This window comes from Homo sapiens, chromosome 19, assembly GCF_000001405.40.
Source record: "Homo sapiens chromosome 19, GRCh38.p14 Primary Assembly".
Lineage (NCBI taxonomy): Eukaryota > Metazoa > Chordata > Mammalia > Primates > Hominidae > Homo > Homo sapiens.
In genome coordinates, this window is record NC_000019.10 from 2172267 (window position 1) to 2185260 (window position 12994).

At 55.7% G+C, this 12994-nt stretch overlaps 1 protein-coding gene across 6 annotated transcripts in view, besides 4 other annotated features; it reads left to right on the forward strand.

The window, feature by feature from the left end:
- The window catches only part of DOT1L (DOT1 like histone lysine methyltransferase), a 68646-nt gene that overhangs the window by 8334 nt on the left and 47318 nt on the right, over positions 1-12994 (forward strand). For all 6 annotated transcript variants that reach the window (NM_001411141.1, NM_032482.3, XM_011528359.3 and 3 more), the window contains exon 2: positions 8447-8490. In NM_001411141.1, coding sequence (NP_001398070.1) covers positions 8447-8490 — 44 coding nt within the window. The remainder of the gene's footprint in view (positions 1-8446; positions 8491-12994) is intronic.
- Positions 1208-1726: an enhancer, noted in NCBI's record as "H3K4me1 hESC enhancer chr19:2173473-2173991 (GRCh37/hg19 assembly coordinates)". NCBI's record gives its function as "activates a minimal SCP1, AML or CMV promoter by ChIP-STARR-seq in naive H9 embryonic stem cells {active_cell/tissue: H9 hESC(naive)}" and the evidence as "EXISTENCE:reporter gene assay evidence [ECO:0000049][PMID:30033119]".
- Positions 8424-9007: an enhancer, noted in NCBI's record as "H3K4me1 hESC enhancer chr19:2180689-2181272 (GRCh37/hg19 assembly coordinates)". NCBI's record gives its function as "activates a minimal SCP1, AML or CMV promoter by ChIP-STARR-seq in primed H9 embryonic stem cells {active_cell/tissue: H9 hESC(primed)}" and the evidence as "EXISTENCE:reporter gene assay evidence [ECO:0000049][PMID:30033119]".
- Positions 10480-10639: an enhancer, noted in NCBI's record as "active region_13664". NCBI's record gives its function as "activates an Ori minimal core promoter by ATAC-STARR-seq in GM12878 lymphoblastoid cells {active_cell/tissue: GM12878}" and the evidence as "EXISTENCE:reporter gene assay evidence [ECO:0000049][PMID:35858748]".
- Positions 10830-10919: an enhancer, noted in NCBI's record as "active region_13665". NCBI's record gives its function as "activates an Ori minimal core promoter by ATAC-STARR-seq in GM12878 lymphoblastoid cells {active_cell/tissue: GM12878}" and the evidence as "EXISTENCE:reporter gene assay evidence [ECO:0000049][PMID:35858748]".

Here is a 12994-nt window from a genome sequence, read left to right on the forward strand (position 1 = left end):
GCAAGCTCCGCCTTCAGGGTTCAAGTGATTCCCCTGCCTCAGCCTCCCGAGTAGCTGGGACTACAGGCGCCCGCCGCCACGCCCAGCTAATTTTTTGTATTTTTAGCAGAGATGGGGTTTCACCATGTTAGCCAGGATGGTCTCGATCTCCTGACCTCATGATCCACCCGCCTTGGGCTCCCAAAGTGCTGGGATCACAGGTGTGAGCCACCGTGCCCGGCCAGCCACTTTTCTTTCTTTCTTTTTTTTTTTTTGAAGACAGAGTCTCACTCTTTTTACTCAGGCTGGAGTGCAGTGGCGCCATCTCGGCTTACTGAAACCTCCGCCTCCTGGGTTCAAGCCATTCTCCTGCCTCAGCCTCCCGAGTAGCTGGGATTACAGATGTGTGCCACCAGGCCCAGCTAGTTTTTGTATTTTTAGTGGAGACGGGGTTTCACCATGTTAATCAGGCTGGTCTCAAACTCCTGACCTCGTGGTCTGCCTGCCCTGCCTCCCAAAGTGCTGGGATTACAGGCGTGAGCCACTGCGCCTGGCAATATTTTTCCTCTTTTTTTTGAAATAACATCCTTGTTGTGACAGTTCACGTATCATAAAGTTCACCTGTTTTAGGCTGGACGTGAGAATGGCATGAACCCAGGAGGCGGAGCTTGCAGTGAGCTGAGATCGTGCCACTGCACTCCAGCCTGGGCAACTGCGCGAGACTCCATCTCAAAAAAAAAAAAAAAGTTCACCCGTTTTAAGTGTACATTTCAGTGTGTTTTAGTATATTCACAGATTGTGCAGTCGTCACCATTGTCTAATTCCAGAACGTTCTAATCACCCCAAAAGGAAACGCTGCCGCCTCAGCAGTCAGTGCTGGTCTCCCCTAGCGTCCTGGAGCGTTTTTCCCTGCATGGAGGCCCACGAGTCCCGCGCTTTCCTCCTTCCCTGTCACGCTGTGGCTTTAGGAGGCCCACGAGTCCCGCGCTTTCCTCCTTCCCTGTCACGCTGTGGCTTTGGCCTCAGGCTAGAGGGTCGGTGTCTGTCAGCCTGTGCTCAGACGAGGGCGAGGAGAGTTCTGGTCAGCGCGTCCAGCCTCCCTCCTGTGTTGCTTTGCTGCTGGAAAAAGAGGGTCCTGATGCAGACCCCAAGAGAGGAGAGAACTCGAGGTGAGCCGCGGATCACAGTGAGAGCAGCCACCAAGCCGCTTCCTTACACAGCGGGCCTCCCTGACAGAGCAGGGCGTCCTCGGGGAGCAGGCAGAGGGTGCCTGCTCTTCCTTAGCGCCTCCGTCTGTGAGAAACGGCCAGGGTTGCGAGTAAACCTGGAACGTGCAGACACTCACTGGAGGCCAGCCGGGTGGTGCCATCCGACCACCCTTCAAGCCCAGCCTGCTCACCGGCCCTCTCAGTACAGCGGGCACGGGTTCTGCGGGCTGCCCGGAAGACCTCCCCCAGACCCATAGATGCTCTGTGTCCTTGGTGGGCAGCTCATAAGTGTGAACCTTCCCGGTACCTTGCGAGTGCCTCACTACGCACTTCAAGACGGGGTCGCTCCGGTTGTGTTTTATGAAACCAGAGGCCTGGTGAGCTGAGCTTCCTCTCACAGCTTCACAGCAGCCTGTGTGGGTGGCCTCAGCCCTCCTGAGCCCCTCCAGTGTCGAGTTGCTTTGACTGTTTCCAGGGAACTCCTTTGGTTGTTGCGTAGCTTGGGCTGTTTGTTTGTTTGTTTGAGACAAACTCTGTCACCCGGGCTGGAGTATTGGAGTTTAGTGGCGTGATCATAACAGTGCAACCTTGAACTCCTGGCTCAAGCGATCCTTCCACCTCAGCCTCCTAAAGTGCTAGCACTACAGGCGTGCACAGCTGTGCCCAGCCAGCTGGGGCTGTTGCACATGGGCTAGTTATTATCAAGTCAGCTGAAGCCTTGTCAGCCATCCTTGGTCTGAGCTCTCCCTGGCTCTCGGGCAGCACCGTCTTCCTCCTGTGGAGGTCTGAGTCCCCTTTTCACACTGCCCTTGATCCTACAGACAGATGCTCAGCCAGGAAGCAACATGCTCTGATGTCCAGGCCCAGCTCTGCTGTGAAGTAGCTGCATGGACTTGGGCCAGGGCCTGTGTGGACCTTGGGTTGAGGGTCAAGTCTAAAAATGCTCTGTCAGGTTGGGCACAGTGGCTCACATCTGTAATCCCAGGACTTGGGGAGGCCGAGGCGGGCAGATCACCTGAGGTTGGGAGTTTGAAACCAGCCTGACCAACGTGGAGAAACCCCGTCTCTGTTAAAAATACAAAATTAGCTGGGTGTGGTGGCGCACGCCTGTAATCCCAGCTACTTGGGAGGCTGAGGCAGGAGAATCGCAAAAGCTAAGATAAATTTTGTTTTTTTCTTTTTTTAGAGATGGGGTCTTGCTGTTCACCCAGGCTGGAGTGCAGTGGTGTGATCACAGCTCACTGCAGCCTTGAACTCCTGGGCTCAAGTGATCCTCCCACTTCAGTCTCCCAAACAGCTGAGACTACAGGTGTACCTGTCATGCCCAGCTAGTTAAAAAAAAAAAAAAGCAAAAACTTTTTTTGAAGAGATGAGGGTCTCAATATGTTGTCCAGGCTGATCTCAAACTCCTAGCTTCAAGCAGTCCTCCCGCCTCAACCTCCCAGAGTGCTGGGATTACAGGCATAAGCCATTATGTCTGATCTCTTTTTAAGTTTTTAAATATATGTGTGTGTGTGTGTGTGTGTGTGTGTGTGTGTGTGTATATATATATTTTTTTTTTTTTAGATGGAGTCTTGCTCTGTTGCCCAGGCTGGAGTGCAGTGGCGCCATCTCGGCTCACTGCAAGCCCCGCCTCCCGGGTTCATGCCATTCTCCTGCCTCATCCTCCCAAGTAGCTGGGACTACAGGCGCCCACCACCACGCCCGGTTAATTTTTTATATTTTTAGTAGAGACAGGGTTTCACTGTGTTAGCCAGGATGGTCTCGATCTCTTGACCTCATGATCCTGCCCGCCTTGGCCTCCCAAAGTGCTTGGGGATTACAGGCGTGAGCCATGGCGCCTGGCCGATATTTTGTATCTTTTTAAGAGTTGAGGTCTTGCTATGTTGCCCAGGTTAGAGTGCAGTGACGATCATGATTCACTGTGGCCTCAAACTCCTGGGCTCCAGTGATCCTCCTGCCTCAGCCTCCTAAGTTGCTGGGACCCCAGGCATGGGCCACTGCATCTGGCCAAGGAGATAAATTTTCATAACTTATTTAACCAAGTATAACTGGAATATTATCATTTTATCATGTAATTAAAAAATTGTTCTGGCTGGACGCAGTGGCTCACGCCTATAATCCCAGCACTTTGGGAGGCTGAGGTGGGTGGATCATCTGAGGTCAGGAGTTCAAGACCAGCCTGGCCAACGTGATGAAACCCCATCTCTACTAAAAATACAAAAAATTAGCCAGGCGTGGTGGCTGACGCCTATAATCCCAGCTACTCAGGAGGCTGAGACGGGAAAATCGCTTGAACCCAGGAAGTGGAGGTTGCAGTGAGCCGAGACTGCGCCATTGAACCTGGGAGGTAGAGGTTGCAGTGAGCCGAGACCACACCACTGCACTCCAGCCTCGGCAACGAGCAAAACTCCGTCTCAAAAAAAGAAAGGAACTCCCACACGAGCTGGAAGCCAGCACTGGGCTCTTCCGCACAGAGGCTCCCACCCATAGACCAGGAGTACGAACCCAACCGTGCTGCTCTAGACATGGGCCCTGGGATGATCACCCAACCTCTGTGTCCCGGCTCTGCCTGTCCCCTGGGCTCTCCAGGAACAGGTCTGTGCTGGAAACGCCTCTTGGCCGAGGCTGCTTTTACTAGACATCCACTCTCAGTTGGGGGTCCTCCAGGCCCTGCACACCCACCCACCATGAGAGGGAATGTCACCGCTTGGCCTTTGGGATTCAGAAAAACCTGGTGAAGTCTGCACAAAGCCCTGTCCCCCAGCCCTCGGTCCACACAGCATCCCACACCACAAGGCACCTCTGGACAGGAGGCAGTGCGAGCAAGAGGGGACAGGGGCAGTAACTCGGGGTGCACTGCCTGGTGGGGACACTGTCTCCCTAGCTGTGAATGACAGGGAATGAGGCACAAGGACGAAACAGGCGTGGGGCAGAGGGCACGGCTCGCGGGAGTTGCAGAGCGAGTTCACCCTGCTACTGCTTCTGCGGGGCACTCATTTTTAGAAGTACACTTACGTGGCCCCCAAAATAATGTCACGCTGCCAAGGAGAGCAGGCAAGGGCAGGTGACACCGCTGTCAATCAGAGCATTTCCAGCCCTCACACCTGTGAGTCATCTGGCTCCCAGGAACATTCTCTGTTCCAGTAAGGCCTGCGCCTGTGAGAAGCGCTTGGCTGAATCCTAGGAAGGGGGACTTGGGCCGACAGCCCCCTCCAACCTGCGCAGCCTCAGGACACTCAAACCACAGCTGCAAACACTGCCAGCCAGACATGCAGCTCCCGCGGCCACCACTTTGAGACAGCGACTCCCTGTGACAAGAAAACTCTGAAACCAGGCGAGGCAGGGCCCTCTGTCAGATGATCACTGGGGAAGACGCTATGGACAGACAGGAACTTCTGGGACCACAGCAGGCTGGAATTCCAGCTTGAGGAGGGAGAGGGGAACCCTGCCGTGGGCCCTGACAGTGAGCAGGAGGAAAGGGGTCTCACAGAAGCAGGACCCCGATATGAGGGAGCAGGCCCAGCACCCCTTCCTCCCGCCCCCAGCCCCTATCCAGAGAGCAGGCTGGCCCTCTGGGTCTCGCTTCAGATGCGTAGAACCCAGTGCTTCCGGCTGCACCCTGCAACATCCCGCAGCAGTCTGTGGGGGTCCGCAGGAAGAAGACTCCCCCGTGAGGGGGAGCTCTGTGGAGCGGCACTGTCCTGACGGCAGCCACTAGCCACTCGGCTGTGGGCACCCGACATGTGGCTGGCGGGAAGGAGCTGTGCAGAGCACAGAACATACAGGAAACGACCAGGTGTGCTGCACTCGCCCCACACACGCAGTCAAATCACGCAGGAACAATTTTTTTTTTTTGGGAGAAAAAGTTTTGCTCTTGTCGCCCAGGCTGGAGTGCAATGCCGCGATCTCGGCTCACTGTAACCTCTGCCTCCCGGGTTCAAGCAAGTCTCCTCTCTCAGCCTCCCTAGTAGCTGGAATTACAGGCACCCGCCACCACACCCAGCTAATTTTTGTATTATTAGTACTACTAACAATTTTTATATTATTAGTGGTAATAATTTTTGTATTACTAGTGATAGAGCTAATATTTGTGTTATTAGTATTCGCCACGTTGGCCAGGCTGGCCTCGAATTCCTGACCTCATGATCTGCGCCCAGCTCGTGTTGAAGTTCTTTAGCCACCTTTGAGCAAGGGACCCTATTTTCACTTTGTCCGGGGCCTGCAAGTTCTGCCTGCTCCCTCGCCAACCCTCGCCAGCCCTGCTCTCCGCTCTGCCCAGCCCCGGCTCTTGCCTCCTCCTATTTCTTTTTCCTTTTTTTTTTTGAGCTGGAATCTCACTCTGCTGCCCAGATTGGAGTGCAGTGGTGCGACCTTGGCTCACTGCAAGCTCTGCTTCCTGGGTTCAAGAGATTCTCCTGCCTCAGCCACTGAGTATCTTGGATTACAGGTGTGTGCCACCACACCTAGCAATTTTTTTTTTTTTTGAGATGGATTCTCACTCTGTATCCCAGGCTGGAGTGCAGTGGTGCAGTCTCAGCTCACTGCAACCTCTGCCTCCTGAGTTCAAGTGAATCTCCTGGCTCAGCCTCCTGAGTAGCTGGGATTACAGGCACGCACCACCATGCCCAGCTAATTTTTTTTTTTTTTGTATTTTTCATAGAGATGGGGTTTCACTGTGTTAGCCAGGCTGGTCTTGAACTCCTGACCTCGAGTGATCCACCCGCCTCGGCCTCCCAAAGTGCTGGGATTACAGGTGTGAACCACCATGCCTGGCCATTTTTTTTTTTTTTTTGGTATTTTTTTGTAGAGATGGCGTTTCACCATGTCTTTGGGAGGCCAAGGCAGACAGCTCACTTGAGGCCAGGAGTTTGAGACCAGCCTGGCCAACATGGTGAAACCTTGTCTCTACCAGAAAAAAAAAAAAAACAAAAAATCTCCAAAACACACTTCACTTTGAAATTTTTTTTTTTTTTTTTTTTGAGACGGAGTCTTGCTCTTTTGCCCAGGCTGGAGTGCAGTGGCGCGATCTTGGCTCACTGCAAGCTCCGCTTCCCGGGTTCACGCCATTCTCCTGCCTCTGCCTCCCGAGTAGCTGGACTACAGGCACCCGTCACTACGCCTGGCTAACTTTTTGTATTTTTTAGTAGAGATGGGGTTTCATTGTGTTAGCCAGGATGGTCTTGATCTCCTGACCTTGTGATCCACCCGCCTCAGCTGGCCTCCCAGAGTGCTGGGATTACAGGTGTGAGCTACCGCGCCCGGCCACGCCCAGCTAATTTTTTCTATTTTTAGTAGAGACGGGGTTTCACCTTGTTAGCCAGGATGGTCTCTATCTCCTGACCTCGTGATCCACCTGCCTCAGCTTCCCAAAGCGCTGGGATTCCAGGTGTGAGCCACCACGCCAACCCCTAAAGTGGTTTTAGACTTAGAAGAAAGTTGCAAAGCACCGCACAGACTTTCTATGTGGCTTTATTTCATCACAGTACCCTGATCCGAACCAGGAGGTGGACGGAGCTGTGGCCTCAGTGGCATATACGTCCCATCCCATCATTGCCATGAGCCCTTGTGTCTCCTGTCTCCCCTATCTAGGCTGATCCCTCAGTGCATAAGGAAAGCTGGGGGGGGGTCTCCTATGGTCTGGCCTTTGGAGGAGAGCCAGCTGGGGTCTCTGTGTGGCACCCCTCAGTCAGGCTTGGCTGCTTCTCTCAGGGTTATACTGAGGTTCTGCATCCTGGCAGGAGCCCCACAGATGGGGTTGCGTCCCGCTGGGCCTTGGGAGGCTCGTGGCGGCTGCGTGTCTCACTGTGATGACGCTGGCCTTGTGTTTCGTCAGGTGGTGTCCACAGGTGCCCTGCTGGTTGCTTTTTCTCTGCCCTGGGAGAGGCTCGCTGAGGCTGCACGGCTGCCTGGGAGAGGCTCGCTGAGGCTGCACGGCTGCCTGGGCGGCCTCTGACGCGCCCTGTGGACTGCAGCATCCAGGGGATCGCGTCTGCAACTCTTATTGCTTTGGCGTTTACCTATTGGGGATTTAAAAAAAAATTGTTCATTTTTATAAAAAAGACATGGGCTGGCTGGGCACGGTGGCTCAGGCCTGTAATCCCAATACTTTGGGAGGCTGAGGTGGGCGGATCACCTGAGGTAAGGATTTCGAGACCAGCCTGATCAACATGGAGAAACCCTGTCTCTACCAAAAATACAAAGTTAGCCAGGCGTGGTGGCTCATGCCAGTAATCCCAGCTACTCGGGAGGCTGAGGCAGGAGAATCCCTTGAACCTGGGAGGTGGAGGTTGCAGTGAGCCGAGATTGCACCACTTCACTCCAGCCTGGGCGACAAACAAACAAACAAACAGAAAAAAGACATGGGCTCTCGCTGTTTCCCAGGCTGGCCTCGAACTCCTGGCTCAAGTGATTCGCTCCCTGCACCCAGCCTGTTGTGGGTTTATATCAGCACAGTAGCACGCAGACGCGACGAAAGTGCACGTGTCCTGGTGGCGTGCACTTGGTCTCTGATTCTCGGTGATGGGTGTGGAGTCGGAGAGGCTTGGGTGGCCCTGCTGGGTGTGAACCTGCCTTTGACATTGGCCTTGTAGAGGGAGCGAAGGGCAGGGTGCTGGACGGGGAGGGATCTGTGTTAGGCCAAGGACCTTGGTTTTAGTTGTGGCAGGTTCTGGGCTATGGCGAGGCCGCCCACGTGGGCTAGCCCAGTGGTTTTTTTCCCATGGTACAGTTGGGGAAACAGGCCCCGTGGAGGCTCTATCACCTGCGGTCACATACCAGGCCTTTGCCAACGCAGGACTCCCAGCCAGGCTGGAGCTCCCTGGCTGGAGCAGCGTCGGGAGAATTCCCGGTGGGCCTGCGGAGCGCGGTCTGAGGGACTTGGGCTGTGTTGAGGGATCAACTGACCTCCAGGGAAAAAATGGGGAGACATGTGGAGCGGAGCTTGGGGCGGCCGTTTGCTTTAGGGTGGGAGAGGAGCAGGACCGGGGGCCATAGACTCCATCCCAGGCCGCTGCCTGCTCGCTGCCTGTAGTAGGACACAGCGTGCCAGAATAGGTCCCCGGCAAGGTCTGTGTTCCCTTCGTGGTCCAGGGTCTGGGAGTGTCTCTGGTGGTACCCGCTGGGTGGTGGGCTTGGGAGCTGCACCAGTTGGGAAATGAAGAGATGGGAAGTTGACGGCATCGCTTGTCCGGGAAGAGAGCGATGGGCTCACGGGGTGGAGGATGGCTCTGCGTCTCAAACTTCTCTCTCTGTTTCAGGATAAACATCACGATGCTGCTCATGAAATCATCGAGACCATCCGGTGAGTGCACGGCCTGCAGTGTGTTGTCTTCACAGCCCTGAGCCACTTCCGTGGACACCCGTGCCCTGCAGATTCTGTTGTGGGGATGGCTCCTGCAGGGGTGGACTCCTGGAGGTGTTGTGAAGCGGATCAGGGGTGACTCAGGGACGGGTAGAGCTGCTTCTCCCAGCTCCATTCCTGGCCAGTGGGTGCAGAAGTCTTGAGCTGCTGGGGTGTCCAGTGGGTCCTCCAGGGGCGTTGCCCTGCCTTCCTCTGTCTCCTTGTCAGTCTCCCTGCTGTGGGTTTTGGGCCGACCTTCACCCTCACGCGCCCTCGACGGCCTCCTGTGTCTGTGCCCCATGGGTGCAGAGAGGAGCATTCTGGGGGTGACTTGGATGGGCAGGAGGCGGAGGCCGTCCTGTCCTCGTAAGCTCCAGCCTGGGCTCCAGGATCTGCAGCAACAGTGCAGGGAGGCCCTCTGGGTGCCTCTCTGCTGCCCACTGGGAAGCTGCCCATGGTGGCCGGCATTCTGCGTGTCTCAGGTGCTCAGGGTCAGAACCCTCATTGTGTGGCACCTGCACGGAGGCCACATGTGTCCATGTGGCCCTGGCGTCTTGCTGGTCTGTTCCTTAGCATACTGGGCTGTGAGGACACCGCCCGTGCCCATGCCCAGCATCTGCCCAGGCCTGCAGCTGCCATAAGGGCCATGCTGAGCTCCTCTTGGCCGGGTGGCTCTGTGCCAGGCCCCTAGCTCCTGAGGCCCTGTAGTTCAGTGTTGGGGCCCAGCGGCACCTCCCTGGCCAGGTTGTTTGAGGATTAAGTGAAATCGTTTGTGTAGGTCGGCCAGGGTGGGCCTGACCCAGGGTCCGTGCTTAGAATGTGGGATCTGCTTTTTTTTAATGTCATGATCCGTGGACCAGGCAGTGGAGTAGGGGCCCCTCTGTTCTTTGTAAAAGAAGTCTGGTGTTATGGTTGGAGGGAGGGCTCTGGATCAGGCAGCTGGACCCCAGCCCAGCCCCCGCCCAGCACCAGCCCCAGCCCCAGCCCCAGCCCCAGCCCCAGCCCAGCTGCAGCATGCTTCTGGCGGCCAGCCGCCTCTCTCTGCCTGGGTTTCTCTTGTTGCAGCTGGGGGCCAAGACTCTGCTGGCGTGGGCCTCTGTGGGTGCTCCTCACAGAGGGCCGGGCAGTCTTTTTAAGAATGCTCAAGCTGTGCACGGTGGCTCACGCCTATAATCCCAGCGCTTTGGAAGGCCAAGGCAGGGAGATCGCTTGAGGCCAGGAGTTCGAGACTGGCCTGGGCACCTTGGGGAAACCCTGTCTCTACTAAAAAAAAACACAAAAATTAGCCGGGTGAGGTAGCAGGTGCCTATAGTCCCAGCTACTTTGGAGGCTGAGGCAGGAGAATAGCTTGAACCCAGGGGGCGGAGGTTGCAGTGACCCAAGATGGTGCCACTGCACTGCAGCCTGGGTGATAAGAGTGAGACTCCATCTCAAAAATAAATAAATAAATAAATAAATAATGCTCAGCTGGGCATGGTGGCTCACACCTGGAATCCCAGTGCTTTGAGAGGCTGGGAGGGTTGATCACTTGAATCCAGGAGCTGGAGATTGGCCGGGCAACATAATGAGACCCCAAGTCTACAAAAAAGTAAAAAATTAGCTGGGCATGGTGGTGCACACCTGTGGTCCCAGCTACTTGCGGGGCTGAGGTGGGAGGATCACTTGAGACCAGTGGCGCTGTGATTGTGCCACCGCCCTCCAGCCAGGCAACAGAGTGAGACCCTGTCTCAAGAAACAAAACCCAAACAAGAAAGAGTGCTCCAGGGCTGTGGCTTCCCGGGGCTGTGACTGTGCAGGTTCTGCCAGTGCTGCCCAGACGTGGTCTCTCTGGGTTAGGATCTCGGTGCAGCAGGGGTGGAAGCCCCTCTCTGACCAGGCGCTTGCTAGTGTGTCTGGAGGTGCTCAGCAGCAGGGGAGCTGCACCTGCTCCCCATGGGAAGGGGCCTGCACAGACTTCTGGGGTCAGAGGAGACCCCAGGCCCCCGGATCTCAGGCAGTGGCGGTGAGAGTGCCTCTCTGGCTGCATGCTCGCCTTCTGCAGGGCTCGGAGCTGACTGTCTTGTTTGAACCTTGTGTGTTTTCTGGGGAGCGCATCTGGAGTCTGGAGCTTAAGCGTTGTAGGGAGCAGGGTCCAGGCACAGGGGCGTGCACCAACACCTGGGCATCCGCGACGTAGGCAGAGACCTCGAAACTCGAACCCCCACCACCTGGAGAGGCTGCTTTCTCCCGTGCATCCCCAGCATGTGGCCAGGGTTCTCACGGTGTGGCTGCACAGACCTTTTCTGTCTCACTTCCTCTAGAAACACCGACGACGTTCTTACACAGCAAACACCATTCAGTCCCCATACGGCCAGTGTCCCAAGCACGTCCTCCCACAGTGGTGTTGTTTTTTTGAGTCAGCGTCTGGCTCTGCTGCTCAGGCTGGGGTGCAGTGGTGCCATCTCAGCTCACTGCAACTTCCACCTCCCAGGTTCAAGCAATTCTCCTGCCTCAGCCTCCCGAGTAGCAGGGATTACAGGTGCCTGCAACCACGCCCAGCTAATTTTTGTATTTTTAGTAGAGGCGAGGTTTTGCCACCTTGGCCAGGCTGGTCTCAAACTCCTGGCCTCAAGTGATCCACCCGCCTCGGCCTCCCGAAGTGTGGGGAGGGCTGTTGTTTAAAGATGATTGGGCTGTCCTAGGCTCTCCTCGTTTGGATGTCCGTTGAGAATCAGCCTTTCCATTTCTCCAGAAAAGCTAGCTGGGCTTTTTCTAGAAATTGGTTTGAGCCTGCAGTTCAGCTTGGGGAAAGGGGCGTTTAAACAGTGTCACTCCCAGGTATTCCTGCTTCAGTGCTTTTTTTTTTTTTTAAGGCGGAGTCTCACTCTGTTGCCCGGGCTGGAGTGTGGTGGCGCATCCTCGGCTCCCTGCAGCCTCCGTCTCCGGGGTTCAAGTGATTCTTCTTCCTCAGCCTCCCGAGTAGCTGGGATTAGAGGCGCCCGTCACCATGCCCAGCAAATTTTTGTGTTTTTAGTAGAGACAGGGTTTCACCATGTTGATCAGGCTGGTCTCGAACTCCTGACCTCGTGATCCGCCTGCCTCGGCCTCCCAAAGCACTGGGATTATAGGCATGAGCCACCACGCCCGGCCTTTGGTGCTTTTTTATGTGGCATTTTGACAATCCTTTGCTGCTAGTATGTGTAAAGACTGCTCCCTTTTGCCTATCGGCCATGCCCCTGCTGAGCTCTGGCGGTGTCCGCGCGTATTCCTCAGCACGCTCTGTGGCGCAGAACCACGGGACTGAGTGAAGACCGTGCGGCCGCTCCTTTCAGGCTCCTTGCTGCTTTGAGTGTTTTTCTTGCCGAGTTGCGCTGGCCGGAACCTCCTGGACAGTGTGATGAGAAGTGACTGCAGATGGCCTTGCTTGGGTTGCTCTCGGGGCCTCGCTCGGTGCCTGGGGCTTTTGATGATCTGCATTGTGAGGTCCCCTGCCGGTGTTGGCCAGGTGTGCAGGCGTTGACCATGCTGGGGACGGGTGACGAGAGGCACCAATAATCACAGAGGGCGGATGCCACAGCCCTTCTGACAGGATGCTGTGTCTTTCAGTGTGGAAGGGTCTTGGAGGGCACCCGGACCTGAGGTCAGGTCCTGGCCAGCTGGTTGGGGAGTCTGGGGACTTGGCGTGGGGTAGGGGGCAATGAAGCTACTCTCGGAGTTCTGGGAAGCTGCCCGCTGGACTTAGCAGGTCAAGAGGACTGGGGAGCAGAGGCCGAACCCCCATCCCTCCCTGACCCCTCCTGCAGAGCCGCAGGCCAGGTGGCTGCGGAAGGTGGGCCTGCTGCTGTCACAGCGGCTCAGTGACTGGTCCCGTGCCCTTTCCAAGCGGAAGGCGTGTCCTTCCATTTCTGGCCTCTTGGAGGGTACCGTCCTGATGGCACCGAATGCCGTCCTGTGGGCTTTCCGTACTCGCCCACACGGGGCTGCTCAGATCTCCGTCCTTGTTCCTTCGGTGAATTGCAGTGACTAATTTTAGAGTGAAGCAGCTTTTCCTCCCCAGGAGGTGCTGTGTGTGGTTGTGAGGTGCCGCTGCGGTTTCCTCACGTTTTTAAGGGATAGTGGGGTGTGTTGGTCAGGGATGTTGGTCAGCTGTTGCCTTTCTTGTCCTTTCTTTCCAGCCCTTTGCGTCTCTATGGTTTTGGTGTCAAGATGACGCTGGCTGCATAAAACTCTGAGAAAGTTTCTGTAGGTTTAGTGTTTGTCTTGTCAGTGTTTGATGGAATTCACCAGTGTGTTTTTGTATTTTGTATTTTTAGTAGAGACGGGGTTTCTCCATGTTGGTCAGGCTGGTCTCCAACTCCTGACCTCGTGATCTGCCCACCTCGGCCTCCCAGAGTGCTGGGATTACAGGTGTGAGCCACCGCACCCGGCACCAGTTGGCTTTAGTTTCTAGTCAGTCAGTTGCTTTTCGAGCTCTGATGTGGCCAGT